The sequence below is a fragment of the Homo sapiens genome, chromosome 2, assembly GCF_000001405.40.
Source record: "Homo sapiens chromosome 2, GRCh38.p14 Primary Assembly".
NCBI classification, from domain to species: domain Eukaryota; kingdom Metazoa; phylum Chordata; class Mammalia; order Primates; family Hominidae; genus Homo; species Homo sapiens.
The window spans coordinates 11,179,710-11,194,454 of record NC_000002.12 but is presented as its reverse complement, the minus strand read 5'-3'; the positions used below and the strand labels follow the sequence as shown (position 1 = coordinate 11,194,454).

At 35.1% G+C, this 14,745-nt stretch overlaps 1 protein-coding gene across 6 annotated transcripts in view; it reads left to right on the top strand.

The window, feature by feature from the left end:
* The window catches only part of ROCK2 (Rho associated coiled-coil containing protein kinase 2), a 165,679-nt gene extending 150,983 nt beyond the window's left edge, over positions 1 to 14,696 (top strand). For 3 of the 6 annotated variants that reach the window (XM_011510417.3, XM_005246190.4, XM_017005379.3), the window contains exons 29-34: positions 111 to 199; positions 598 to 676; positions 1,743 to 2,004; positions 2,094 to 2,307; positions 9,686 to 9,789; positions 11,015 to 14,696. In XM_011510417.3, the coding sequence (XP_011508719.1) occupies positions 111 to 199; positions 598 to 676; positions 1,743 to 2,004; positions 2,094 to 2,307; positions 9,686 to 9,776 (735 nt within the window). In that variant the 3' untranslated portion in view covers positions 9,777 to 9,789; positions 11,015 to 14,696. Of the gene's footprint in view, positions 1 to 110; positions 200 to 597; positions 677 to 1,742; positions 2,005 to 2,093; positions 2,308 to 7,531; positions 8,671 to 9,685; positions 9,790 to 11,014 lie in introns of those variants that run through there. The other 3 variants (NM_001321643.2, NM_004850.5, XM_017005378.3) reach the window with 2 other exon arrangements.

Here is a 14,745-nt window from a genome sequence, read left to right as displayed (position 1 = left end):
TTAGTATTTTATGATTTTTATTGCTAATATAGAATTTATTTTCAAAAAAATCAATAAATAAGGTATATAAAAACTTGAATTACTGATTTCTTTTCTCCCTGTTTTAACAGTATGTGATTGTAAGCAGTAAGAAGATTCTTTTCTATGACAGTGAACAAGATAAAGAACAATCCAATCCTTACATGGTTTTAGATATAGAGTAAGTGTTTTTGTTAGAATATTTAGAAACTATATCTTTTAAAGTATAAGAGACTAACAATGCAATTTATTAGTCTCATAGTATAGCTCCTACTGTAATATTGTTACATTTTCCTGTGATTTGCTTCATACAGATGAAAGTCTGGGATACAGGGTTAGTTAAAACATCTTTATTTCATGGGCCTTTGATACATTATTTTTTGAAACTAATTAGAAAATTTCTGACATAGAGGTTTCTAAAAATCTTAATTAATTATAGAATTAATAGAACAAAATATTCTGAGTTCCTAACATGGGTCAAAGTAGTCAGTGTTTAACGTCTGATGTAAGTATAGAATAATTAATATATAATTTGATCCTTGGGTGATATTTTATTCCTTTATTCAAAATTTTTTATAGCAAGTTATTTCATGTCCGACCAGTTACACAGACAGATGTGTATAGAGCAGATGCTAAAGAAATTCCAAGGATATTCCAGGTAAACATAGTTTTGTTTATATTTGGTTGGTTGGCTTTGTTTTGTTTTTTTCACATTTAGAAGTTCTCAAGTGACATGACATGTTAAATCTCTTCATTCTTTGACCCTCTTCAGGTTACCTTTATGTTTCAGTCCTATTTAAAGATGGTTTGTTGCTTTGTGACTTTTGTGCTTAATTCTGTTTGGGAACGTTTTCATTCCTTTCTCCATTTTATTTGTTAAAGCTTGCGGTGTGTTTGTATCATGTTTCTGGTCTTTGCTATATTTTTGTTTAAGGTTGGTTATGACTTTTTTTTAAACATGAATTTTTCCCTTTCTGTTTTTGTTTAATCTCAGCTCTCTAGAAAGTTAGAAAAGTCAGTTATGGAGGTAAATTTTGTACCTTGTAGCCCTTTTACCTCCGATTTAAAGTGAAGCCACATTCTTCCCTTTACTACTTCCATTTTAAAATTAGTCAAACCAACAATGACTTACTGATTTCCTTCTATGTAAGAGTCGTTGTGCTTGGTGTACTGTGTGGAAGTTGGCTCCTTGTTTTCTGGATGCTTGTCATGTTTATTTGGAGTTTAATACACATCCTTTCCTCTTTCTTTTCTCTCTCAACTCTCAAAATATAGGACTTTTAAAATGAAGCTGTGCTCATAGCTGTTACCCAGTTTTCTGTTAAGTATTACAAAACACCAATTAGTGTGATTGCCACATTTCTTCAAGTGATTATTTTGAACAGTCTCTCCCAGAAAAACTTCCTAACACCTATGAAGTTACCTTTTGCTGACCTATTCTGATAGTGCTGCTAAAGCATGGGTGTTATAAAGAAAATAAGGAGGCAGCATTTGAACAGGATCAGTTCTTTTGAAATGCAAACCAAAGTGACTGTCTGATGACTTTTCTTATATAAGCTCTTGATTAAGTTTGCGTAATCAAGAGCTTAAGTTTGTACTTCAGATACATTTTCTTCTCTTTGAATAATTTAGGCTAATTTTATTTTACTTACACTATCAGAATTGTTCCTACATAAAAAAATAGCATGTTTGGAAATCACTTATTGTTCTTTTGGCATTCATAGATTCTGTATGCCAATGAAGGAGAAAGTAAGAAGGAACAAGAATTTCCAGTGGAGCCAGTTGGAGAAAAATCTAATTATATTTGCCACAAGGGACATGAGTTTATTCCTACTCTTTATCATTTCCCAACCAACTGTGAGGCTTGTATGAAGCCCCTGTGGCACATGTTTAAGCCTCCTCCTGCTTTGGAGTGCCGCCGTTGCCATATTAAGTGTCATAAAGATCATATGGACAAAAAGGAGGAGATTATAGCACCTTGCAAAGGTAAATGATAAATTACTTGCTCCATCGATATTGGTTATGTTCAGATCATTTTAAGCACATTAATTTTTTTTTCTAATTTTTCTTTATAGTATATTATGATATTTCAACGGCAAAGAATCTGTTATTACTAGCAAATTCTACAGAAGAGCAGCAGAAGTGGGTTAGTCGGTTGGTGAAAAAGATACCTAAAAAGCCCCCAGCTCCAGACCCTTTTGCCCGATCATCTCCTAGAACTTCAATGAAGATACAGCAAAACCAGTCTATTAGACGGCCAAGTCGACAGCTTGCCCCAAACAAACCTAGGTAATAAACTAAAATGTGGTAAGGAAAAAAAAAAAGTCTATTAAAATATTTTGCTATTTATGTTCAAACTACAAATTTTCCTAATTAGTTTTCCTTTGCTTTGTATTTTAGTTAACTATGGAATACCAAATGTTGGAACTGTCTTAATGTGCATGTCATGTTCATCGATTCAGATGAAAGTAATATAAACTTACTTACTAAATCACACACATACAGTAAATTCAACCAAAAATCTTTAAAGATTTTTGTTATGTTTATTTGTACAATAAATCCTCACTTAACATTGTCCATAGGTTCTTAGAACTTACAACTTTAAGCAAAATAATGGCTGGTCCTGGAATTAAGTTGTTTCCTTCAAAATTGTTCTGTTATAACCTTGATGAGAAGAAAATGGTTTTGTTATACTTCATTTAGCTTAAAGTCATACTTTCCAAGAACCTGTCGATGATGTCCAGTGAGGACTTACTGTATAATAATATAATTTTCAGCTTTTATAAGCACTTGAGTAATTTAATAACTTAAAAGATAGAATTAACATTGTACACAGACCTCACATTGTCAAGTGCACACACTGTGTTTCATATTATAAGCTTTTATTATGTTGGGTGACTTGGGAGGCAGGTTTAAAATCAGCTTAAGTTTTAAATCAAATCTATAAATTTAAAACAGTAACTTGAGTGTGATTTTAACAGCAACATAGACCAGCTTTAAAAATGCAAATATTAGCTAATGGGTAAAGTGGTTATTCCTTGGAATTGAGGTAGAGTTAGGAAAATGGAGTAAGGTCAGGGATGATCATTATGCACAAAAACATTTTGATGGAGCCATTTTCGGATAGCTATGTGAAAGTCCTTTAGTTAAATATCGTGATTCACAATAGCCATTTCTTGGCTTACTAACTACTTCAGCATTTATAAACATTGCTATCCATTGAACATGAAATGAACACAAGAATTTGGTTAGCTAAAGGAAAAAGCATATCCTTTGATCAGGTATCTGATTTCAGGTATCCTTTTGGTTCCCTAACACAGGACCTTCAGTATATGAATATTGATAGCATTGGCTGTATTGTCAGAAATTCTAATCACAAACATCTTAGATGAAACTTTCTGAAACTAATCTCTCAAGGAAATAATTTAGAATGACAAAGGCAGAATTGGTGTTTCAGCAGTGAAAATGTTGAATATTTTGTGTGAGGTATGATAAAACTAAACAAAATTAATGATTATTGACTAAAGCTAAAGAAACTCAGAATTCAGAGACACTGAAGGCCATTTCAAGTGCCTTCTGTAAAACATCTGAAAATTAAATTTCTATTATTAATATTGTAGAACTATTAATGCTTAAATGGTATTTTAATACCTTATAGTGTGTAGTGATTTCAGTTTCCAAAGTACTTCTCTGTGTATTCTTTTCTCTCATTTAACTTCTTATATATTATCTCATTTGCTCTTTAAAATAGTCCTATGGAATAGAATAGGTATTGTTATATTTGTTTTTGATTAAGACTCCAGAAGGGGTTTGTCTAGATCTAGAACTATAATAACTCCAAATATCCTTTTGATACATTTTTTTCTTTTGTGCTATTTGACACATTAATGATTTCACTACATACGATAACATATATGGAATTAGTTTATGAGGCACGCTCCCAGTTATGTAACAGGCTGTTTTTATGTACACTGACTTACAAATACCTTCCTTTCCCAGTCCAAATCAGCATTATGGTCTATTTGAGAGTACATTTACTTTTGATTTTTGTTACTTTTTTTTTTTTTTTTAAAAAACTTCTGGCCTTGCCCTGTGAATCATTCTTCATTGATTTTTTTAAAAAACACATTTTGTCATAGCAACGGTAAGTAGTAAGGATTTCTTTCCCTCATATCTGCATGTAAATAAAACTAATATCAAAATTGACTGTAAAATGTGTAGTGTATATTTTGTGAAAAAATTCATTTAATACATTCTTTGAAATTCTAAACATAAAGGTGGTCACATTTATAATATAATTTGGATTTTGTTGTACATCTGCAACATTATTTCCATTGTTTTTGGCATTTGAGTCTCCATTGTTTCATGTACTCCTAGCATTGTGTCTGTATCTCTTACATGAATCAATCAACCTGCATTTTATTATTATTATTATTATTATTGAGACAGGGTCTCACTCTGTTGCCCAGGCTGGAGTGCAATGGCACGATCATGACTCACTGCAGCCTTGACCTCCCAGGCCCAACTGATTATTCTCCCACCTCAGCCTCCCAGAGTAGGTGGGACCACATACATGCACCATGACACCTGGCTAATTTTTTTTTGTTTTTATTTTCTGTAGAGATGGGGGTCTCCCTATGTTGCCCAGGCTGGTCTCAAATGCCTGGCCTTAAGCAATCCTCCCACCTCGGCCTCCCAAAGTGCTAGGATTACAGGCATGAGCCACCACGCCTGGCCAGTATTCCATTTTGAATGTCACATTTTAAGAGTCACTTATACAAATTGAATGGTATATAGATGAGAATAACAGAGGTTGCAGTATGTCATTTGAAAGTATTATGTAGCAAGCGAAGGAACTGAGGATATTTTGTTCTCTAAAGACATTATTTGAAAGTGTGAGAGATCATAAATAGCACTAAACAGTTAAAGACCTTTTCCTTGGAAGATGTATTAGAAGAAGAACCAATCAGAGAGGCAAATTGTAAATCTCATTGAGTAGCATGGTTCCAGGGAGGAATCAAGCCTCAGGCTGGATGGTTTTTAACATTCTACTGGACTAAAGCCCATTCAGTATACAAATGGGTGGAAATGGTAAAGGGTCATCCAAGAAAACAGAGGCACAGAATTGCTGGTGTGTCTCAGCAGTGATCTAACATCTAGCTGTTCATTTGAGTTTGTTTAATATTAGTCTTAGCATTAGTCAATCTAGCTTTAGTTGAACTAATTTGACATGGTATCCTTCTTAAAACAAAGTTTGGCTTTGTTAGATACATCAAATATAAAGTGAACCCATAAATGTTCACTTAACCATTTTTGGTAACTTTTCCTCTGTGTCTTTCTTTGTGGTCATCTGCCATTACATCATTACATCTTTTTCTCTTCTTTTTTCTTTTTTTTTGTGACATGACGTCTCACTCTGTCACCCAGGCTGGAGTGTAGTGGCGTGATCTCGGTTCACCCTAACCCTCCACCTTCCAGGTTCAAGCAATTCTCCTGCCTCAGCCTTCTGGGTAGTTGGGATTACAGACATGCACCCTACAAAATTAGCACTTTGGGAGGCCGAGGCAGGTGGATCACGTGGTCAGGAGATCGAGACCATCCTGGCTAACACAGTGAAACCCCATCTCTACTAAAAAATACAAAAAATTAGCTGGGCGTGGTGGCAGGCACTTGTAGTCCCAGCTACTCGGGAGGCTGAGGCAGGAGAATGGCGTGAACCCGGGAGGCGGAGCTTGTAGTGAGCCGAGATCACGCCACTGCACTCCAGCCTGGGCGACAGTGAGACTCCGTCTCAAAAAATAAAAATAAAAAAATAAAAATAAAATAAGACTAGAAATTAATTGACAGTTCATAAAAATAATGTATAGAAATGCTATTCTACAGGAATGTTTTCTTGGTACTTTTGAATTAAAATTAAAATGCCATACTGGAAAAGTAGGAAATTTGTGAATAAAATGCTAATTTTTGATGAAGACAATTTGGGGAGTCCTAATTTGTTTCAATGCAAGATAAAAATATACCAGTCTGGGCTGGGCGCGGTGGCTCACACCTGTAATCCCAGCACTTTGGGAGGCCAAGGCAGGTGGATCACCTGAGGTCAGGAGTTCAAGACAAGCCTGGCCAAGATGGTGAAACCCCATCTCTACTAAAAATACAAAAATTAGCCAGGCGTGGTGTCAGGCGCCTGTAATCCCAGCTACTGGGGAGGCTGAGGCAGAGAATTGCTTGAACCCAGGAGGTGGAGGTTGCAGTAAGCCGAGATCGCACCACTGCACTCCAACCTAGGCAACAGAGCGAGACTCCGTCACACAAAAAAAAAAAAAAAAAAAAAAATTATATACCAGTTTGGCTAGAGGGTATTTCTCTTTAATTATTTTTCTTTTAAAGATTTTTTTTAACGCAGTATTTAATGCATGCAGAAAAGTATAAAGCAAAAATGTAACAAATGCTCACTTACCGAGTTTTAAGAAGTGTAAAACATGGCAGCACAGTTAAAACTTAAAGGAGGAAGTAGCTATTGTGTCATTATTATCTTATCTTTGCTCTTCCTCATTTCTAAATGTTAAAGAATTAACAGTCTACTTGGGAAAATAATGAAGTTATATACAATTTGAAGTGTCAAAAATAAATCCATAGGTGAATATATACCTGATCTTGAATTGGGGAAGAACTTCCAAATAATAAAAGCAAAGAAAACAAAGCCAAAGATCAACTACCCCAAAAGTAAAGCCTTGTAAATTTAAAAAACACCATGTATTTCCAAAATATATGAGAAAGATGAGTTAGTATCTTCACATACGAAAAGTTCTTATAAATCATTGAGAAAAAAGATTGCCTCATCCCCATACAAAATTAATGAGGCGCATGCAGGCATTATTATGGAAATAGCTGTTAAATGTAAAAAAAAGTGATCAGCCTGATTACAGTAGTCCCCCTTTATCTCAAGGGATATGTAGTCCAAGACCCCCAGTGGATGCCTGGAATCACGAATAGTACTGGACCGTACACATACAATTTTTTAAAATCTGATAATGAAGACCATTAGTAAGTGACTAACAAGCATGGATATGCTGGACAAAGGGATGACTCACATCCCAGGCAGGACAGAGTGGGATGGCACAAGATGTCATCACGCTGTTTACAACGTTGGGCAGTTTAAAACTTCTAAGTTGTTTTGAGCTTTTCTATTTAATGTTTTCAGACTGTGGTTCACCACTGGTAACTTGAAACCATGGAAAGTGAAGACAAGGATATGGGGGGACTACTGTATTAAGAAATTAGCATTAAATTAAAACTATAACATAAAACCATTTTTCACCTGCCAAACTGGCACGGGTTAAGAAACGAAATGGGTACTTTTGTGGACTGCTGGTAGAACTCCAAATTAAATGCACTCTTTCCAAAGCATCTTTGACAATAAGTTTCGCAGGCCTGAACTATATCCCTGTTAATGGTGGAGACAGTCAAGCAACAGGCAATTACAGTACTATGTAAAATGCTGTTTATAATATAGGGATGAACAGAGCGCTTGGGGAAACGAGGGAAGCATGGAGAATTCTGCCTGAGGACATTAAGAAAGATCTCAAACAATGGAGGATGGATAATTTTACAAGCAGACAAATAAGGGAAAATCAGTTCCAAGCAAAATGTCATGTGCAGAGGTACAAAGTCATCAGAATTACTTATGTATTTGTAATTTTGTGTTGGCTTGGCGTTGGGAGAAGGCAAGGGTAGGGAGTGGTAAAAGATGATGTGACACTAGAGAGAAAGTCTGAACCCAACTGAAAAGCTCCATGTACACTGTGCTCAGGAGTTTTGATTTATAAGTAGAAGTCTTTCAGTAAGGGATTGGTATTCAGGCTTAATGAGATCCTGAACTGAGTACTTGACAATGAAAACGAAGAAAATAAACCTGGATTTGGAAAGATTTCTTCAGTTGAAATAACTAGAATTAGATGACTGATTCGAAGGGATGAGGGAGAGGGTTGTAAGGGAAGTCTCGTCATACACTACAGTCGCATCTAGCGATTAGACTTAAATTTGAGATTGTGACACTGGCACACACTTCAAAGGTTTTGAAAGGGTATGCAATGCAGCTTTCTCCTAACCTATGCTAAAGCTGAGGCTTGGATGCCCTGGAAGGCCTGCTGATCACAATCTCCCAAGCAGTAGAGCTGAAACTATGGCTATAAGTTACATTATATATAAGTCTAGAGAAGTGAGTGTGTGCCAGGTTGCGATATGTGTTCAGTGAGTAATTATATCTGTTTGTGTGTTTTCTCAAATGTTGTGCTGTGTTTAGCACATTTTAAAAGAGTAATTTGAGTCGCTGTGTTTATTTTAAATTAGAGTAATCATCCATTAACCTATTCTGTCAGTGTTTCTCAAAGTTAACCAGCTGTATCAGAAATCGCCTCAGGTTTTTTATTTGAAAATGCAAATATTTGGGCCCTTTTCAGTCATATCTAAATCTCTTGGAATGAGGCCTTATAAAGAGCAGTAGGTAAATCATATACACTAAAGTTTCTTACTTTAGAAGTGTGTAAATAAGAACCACTGACAATAGTGATTACAGGTGAGACTTTGGGGACCAGATGAGTTCCTTGGCACAAGTTGATTCATGAACACCACAGTTTTAAAAATGAAAAAGTTACTGCTTTTTTTTATTATTTATTTATTTTTATTTTTATTTATTTATTAATTTTTTGAGACGAAGTCTCACTCTTGTTCCCCAGGCTGGAGTGCAATGGCACGATCTCGGCTCACTACAACTTCCGCCTCCTGGATTCAAGTGACTCTCCTGCCTCAGCCTCCTGAGTAGCTGTGATTACAGGCACCTGCCACCATGCCCAGCTAATTTTTGTATTTTTAGTAGAGACATGGTTTCACCATGTTGGCCAGGCTGGTCTTGAACTCCTCACCTCAGGTGATCTGCCCGCCTCAGCCTCCCAAAGTGCTGGGATTACAGACGTGAGCCACCGCATCTGGCCAGGTGGCTATTTTTAAAAACAAAGATGATAGCAATATTACAGTTTAGGTTATTGAATTAGAAAGAAAAGACCACATATATCCCAACTCTAAGTCCAATTTAGCCAAGATGACTTGCTAATGCTACTTATGTACCTGTGGCTTTTCCCTTGTCCCTAGTTTTTCATATGCAGGACAAAGCTCTTGGTGACACATTGAGCAGGCAGGGTCCTACTGGAATTCAGAAAGCTGCTTTCTTATTCTATTACTCCCTTTTTACCCCATGGTTTTTGGTGCTATGATGGAAAAACTGAGCTGACAATCTGACCACTTTGGTGAAGGGGAACATTGACAAATGTGCTTTCATAATTCTCAAATCAAACTGGGCATCAGGATGGTTATGTGTTTATCTGGGGTATGGGAGTGAGGAGGGAGAAGCAGATTGTTTCTTATTATCCCAAATATGATCGCTGTCTTCAAATATCTGGAAAGTGTACTTGGCCAACATGATTATATGCATTTATATATAAAGGGCAAGGCTTCCCTATGTGCGTCCGTCTTAATTTTAATCTTGTTGTTATCCATGAAGGGAAAATTAAAATGCTTACAAGCACATTCAAAGTATGATTTCTAAGTCATAACATTAAGTTACAGTTTCTAAAGAGTGTTAGAGTATAAATTTACAAACCTCCTATTGCAGATTGCTTGATTTGGCATTTAAAGACTGGGATTGGTCATTTGATGATGTTGATGGTGGTGGTGATGATGATGACGATGTTTTTGATTTCTGAAGAAATAAATGGGGTAAATCAAAAAATGAAAAATCAGTTATTTTAGTACTTCAACGTAGTGCATGTGGTTTGCCACTTGGGCTTTCATTATTTTTTATTTTTGAAACTTGTTTTTAATAGTATATAGTTAAAAGTAGTTTTCGAAAAGTTGCTAACTGAAATTTACATGTTAAGTGTAAAAGTGAAATGCTATGTTCAGATTCTTTATTGGCTATAAATTTTTAGTACAGTTAGAATTTATCTTAGGAATGAGATGTAGAAATCACAAAAGGAGTTAATTCTGATACGTTCTGTTCATTCCAAAGAAGCCATATTCAGAAGAGAAGTAAAATTTACAACGTTTTCAAGTTCCTACAGCTATATTAGTTTGTGAACATAGCATGAGATTCCTTTCTCCATCTCTCTCCTTTTATTTCCAACTTGCAAGAATTGAAAGCATAAAAACTTTATAAGTCTAATAAGTGCTGTGAAATAGCTATTTCTGATTTGGCATTTTTGTGTGTGGTGCTGTGAAATGTTTGCTTTGTGAGAATTTAATGTTACCCTTGCTGAAGAATGTCAGTGATACGCTGTGAGAATTGTGCTTTTAGAAAATGTAAAATAGTTTGGTTAATAGTGGCTAAAGGAGATTTGAATGAAAGTTGAGCCTCAAGTTAAACCTTTTACATAGAAGGATTTAAAAGAAATAATGTGTGTTTTAGTCTAAGTAAGCAAGTTGCAAAACATAAATCAGGTAGTACTGGTATCTATTTATAATCAGATTTCATAGAGTAGCTTGTATATATTTACTACAACAATGTAGTTGGTCCTATCTTATAGAAAAACAAAATGTGGCTTAGGGTTGAACAGCCAAGTAGAACCTGATCAATAGGCCCATTTCCCTTTCAGCTACATGAGGCAGCTGGCAGTTAAACCCCAAATCAAACTTTTATCTTCTAAGTTATTCTGTGGTATATTGTTTAACCCTAATAGCTTGTTAACCATATTAAAATGTGTGTGTAATGTGTGTAGCTAATATTCCAAAATCCCAAGTTGTTTTGGGAAAGAATATAATTGCATGTTGTACCTATAGGAAAAGTAATACAGTAAGTATGTTTATGCATGATTTTAGTGTTAAAAAATATAGTAGCTGGAAGACTATATAGTTTAATAATGTGAATGGAATGCTTTTTCTAGGAATTTAACACTCTTAAATTATTTCACTGTATCAACTAACTTTATTTTTCCTTTCTTTTCAGCTAACTGCCTTCTATGAAAGCAGTCATTATTCAAGGTGATCGTATTCTTCCAGTGAAAACAAGACTGAAATATGATGGCCCAAAATTTATTAAAAAGCTATATTTTCCTGAGAGACTGATACATACACTCATACATATATGTGTTCCCCTTTTCCCTGTAATATAAATTACAAATCTGGGCTCCTTTGAAGCAACAGGTTGAACCAACAATGATTGGTTGATAGACTAAGGATATATGCAACTCTTCCAGACTTTTCCATAAAGCTCTCTCGGCAGTCGCTCACACTACAATGCACACAAGGATTGAGAAGAGTTAAAGGCTAAAGAAAACATCTTTTCTAGCTTCAACAGAGAGGTTTCACCAGCACATTTACCAGAAGAATCTGGGAATGGATTCCACTACAGTGATATTGACTGCATCTTTAAGAAGTGACCATTATACTGTGTATATATATATAAACACACACACATATATATATATATATATAGTACTCTAATACTGCAAGAAGGTTTTTTAAACTTCCCACTTTATTTTTTATACACATTAATCAGATATCATTACTTGCTGCAGTTGCAACTATGCACTTGTATAAAGCCATAATGTTGGAGTTTATATCACTCATTCCTGTGTACCTGATGGAAGTTGCATGTTCATGTTTAAGCAGTTACTGTAACAAGAAGTTTAAAGTTAATTATATCAGTTTCCTAATGCTTCATGATAGGCAACTTTACCCATTTTGAATGCCTTAATTTAATTTTTTTCAAAGTCTCAGCCCTGTCTGTATTAAAAAACAAAAAAAGCGTTTACCAGCTCTTAGGATGTAAACTAGCTTTGTGGAAGATAAATCGTGCACTATTTTTACACATAAATAGTTATATCAATGTCAGCCTATTTTGATTAACAAATGTTTTTAAAGTATTATTGGTTATAGAAACAATAATGGATGGTGTTGGAACTAATATATCCTTGATGTCTGTCTATTATTCATTCAACTCTTTTTACAGACCTCAGTATTAGTCTGTGACTACAAAATATTTTATTTGCTTTAAATTTGCTGGCTACCCTAGATGTGTTTTTATTCCTGGTAAAGACATTTGTGATTACATTTTCACACTTAAGATTCAAAATTTTTCCCAAATATAAAGAAAACTAAGACAGACTGTAGATGCATTTTAAATATTTAAATATGATCCTCAGACATGCAGCTGTGTGTGGCAGTATTTTAGTACCGGGTTAAGAAAACTGGCAACTGGGAAGAAGTGGCCTCAAAGGCACTTAATTTGATTTTTATTTTTTAAATGCTGTCAAAGTTACAGTTTACGCAGGACATTCTTGCCGTATTCTCATGATCCCAGATAAGTGTGTGTTTTATACTGCAACAATATGCAGCAATGGTAAGCGTAAAGTTTTTTTTTTGTTTTTGTTTTTTTTTATATTATGAAGTCTTTTAACAGTCTCTCTTTATATAAATACACAGAGTTTGGTATGATATTTAAATACATCATCTGGCCAGGCATGGTGGCTTACGCCTGTAATCCTAGCACTTTGGGAGGCCAAGACGGGCGGATCACCTGAGGTGAGGAGTTCAAGACCAGCCTGCCCAACATAGTGAAACTCCGTCTCTACCAATATACAAAAATTAGCCGGGCATGATGGTGGTGGCCTGTAATCCCAGCTACTTGGGAGGCTGAGACAGGAGAATCGCTTGAACCCAGGAGACGGTGGTTGCAGTGAGCGAAGATCGAGCCACTGCACTCCAGCCTGGGCAGCTGAACAAGACTCCGTCTCAAAAAAAAAAAAAAAAAAAAGTCATCTAATATTTCGATGAAGGAAATAGACATTTTTCATTGATTCCCTCTGATGTCAGTTAGAGATATTTAAAAAGTTAGATCCCCATAATAGATACTATTGTGGAAACTGAAGAGTAGCTACTGGCCTACTGATAGACTGAAACTGGTTTTGTTATTCTTAACGTTCTCCAGTCTGCACTCTGCTGTGCTGTCTGTGCTCAGACTAGACGTGCATGCCGTTTCCTTTGCAGGTGTGTTCTGCAGCTCTGGTTTTGGGGGATAGCTCTTTTTTAAGTAAGATTAAAAAATGAAAAATATATAAATTTATATAGAATAAATATTTCCATTCATTAGAGTTGTTAAAAGGAGACTGAATTAATATTTTATATAAAGATTTTGTTACATTATGGGAGGTTCTATCCTATTCTGAATTGGAGAGTATATATATATATATATATATATATATATTTTTAATAAACTTTATTAAGGTGAAATAATTTCAAGTTTACATATGAGTAACTGAAATATTTGAGTAAAAAAGGCAAAAGTTTAAATTTGGAATGCTGTATATATTAGAGAATATGGGGAATCATGGTGTGACCAACTGTACAAGGAAGATTCATATGAAGGTCTTAGGGGAAAAAGATAATTCTGAAGGGTGAAAAAAAAATCTCTCCCATGGAGATTCTTCACATTATATGGTTTGACATAAGGGTTTATAAGGTTGTTTGTCCAACTAATGAAAATGCGCTTAATAAAAAATTCTGACCTTGGGTAAGAATTCGCTTTTTACCGCATTGCCGCTTTCATGTACATACATGAGTGCATGCACCTATCAATGTGTTTTCTTCCCAACACTTATTAAATATAAAACAACCTGATTTTGTGCTCGTTTCTCGTTTTTCTTGAGGCCCTGAAGCTTCCAAGATAAATATAAGACTAAAATTTGCTTGTTCCTTCACACCTGATTTCTCCTAGAACCATAAATACCTCCTATGGGGAACTAAGAAATCATGAATACTGGGATTTTCTTATTGGATTTTTTACTTTTGTTTTGTGGGGATAACGAGACAGAAGTGAAAGGAAAACTGGTGCCGGTATTACTGTTGAAATTAATGTACAGTGAATGTTTTTAAAGTATTAATTTTAAAAAACCATGTTCTCTAGAAACAAGTTTTAAAAATCTATATGAAAGTTTTAAAATGTTCCAGCTAACTAATGGATAAGCATACCAGTAAAGCCAAAGTAAAGGTTAGTGCCTTTAAAACTAACCTGTGTTAGAGTTACATGAATCTGGCTCTAAAGTATCTATTTTGCATCCATTTATATATAGATCTTAAACAGAAATACTCTAGGTTGCCACACCACAGTTTTAAGAAGTTATGCTGCTGCTGTTACTCTCTTCTAGGATTCTGGTGGTAAAGTAGAGAAACTCGGACACTATATTAACCTTACTGAAACATGCTTTAAATCGTGTCTAAAATCTGATTTGAGCAAGTCACTGCCGAGCTTCTGAGTCTGCATTGACACTGCTACTGACTCACCTCTCCTTCCCTGGAATAAGGCTTCAGCTTCCCTATGCTGTGAAGACACCATTTGTAAGCACTTTGAACATAAGCACTGTGTGACAGCGCTGGATATCATGCTTGGGGGGGGGCCTCTCCCTGACTCCCATCCCCATAATAATGAGTTTTGTTTGGAATTGTAATAAGTAATGAACTGCATGGTTTAGAAAATTATAAATATTTGATCAGCTGTCCTCTCTGAAAAAAATTGCACCCCTTTTTCTTTTTTAAAATTTTGTTGCATCTTCGTAGTAATGTAATTGTATTTTATGCCTGCTTTTTTATAAAAAAATAAAATAAAATAAATGGAGACATAAGCATTTTCATACTTCTCCTGTGAAATAGTCCTGGAATACGGCAACCTTCTAAAGTTTA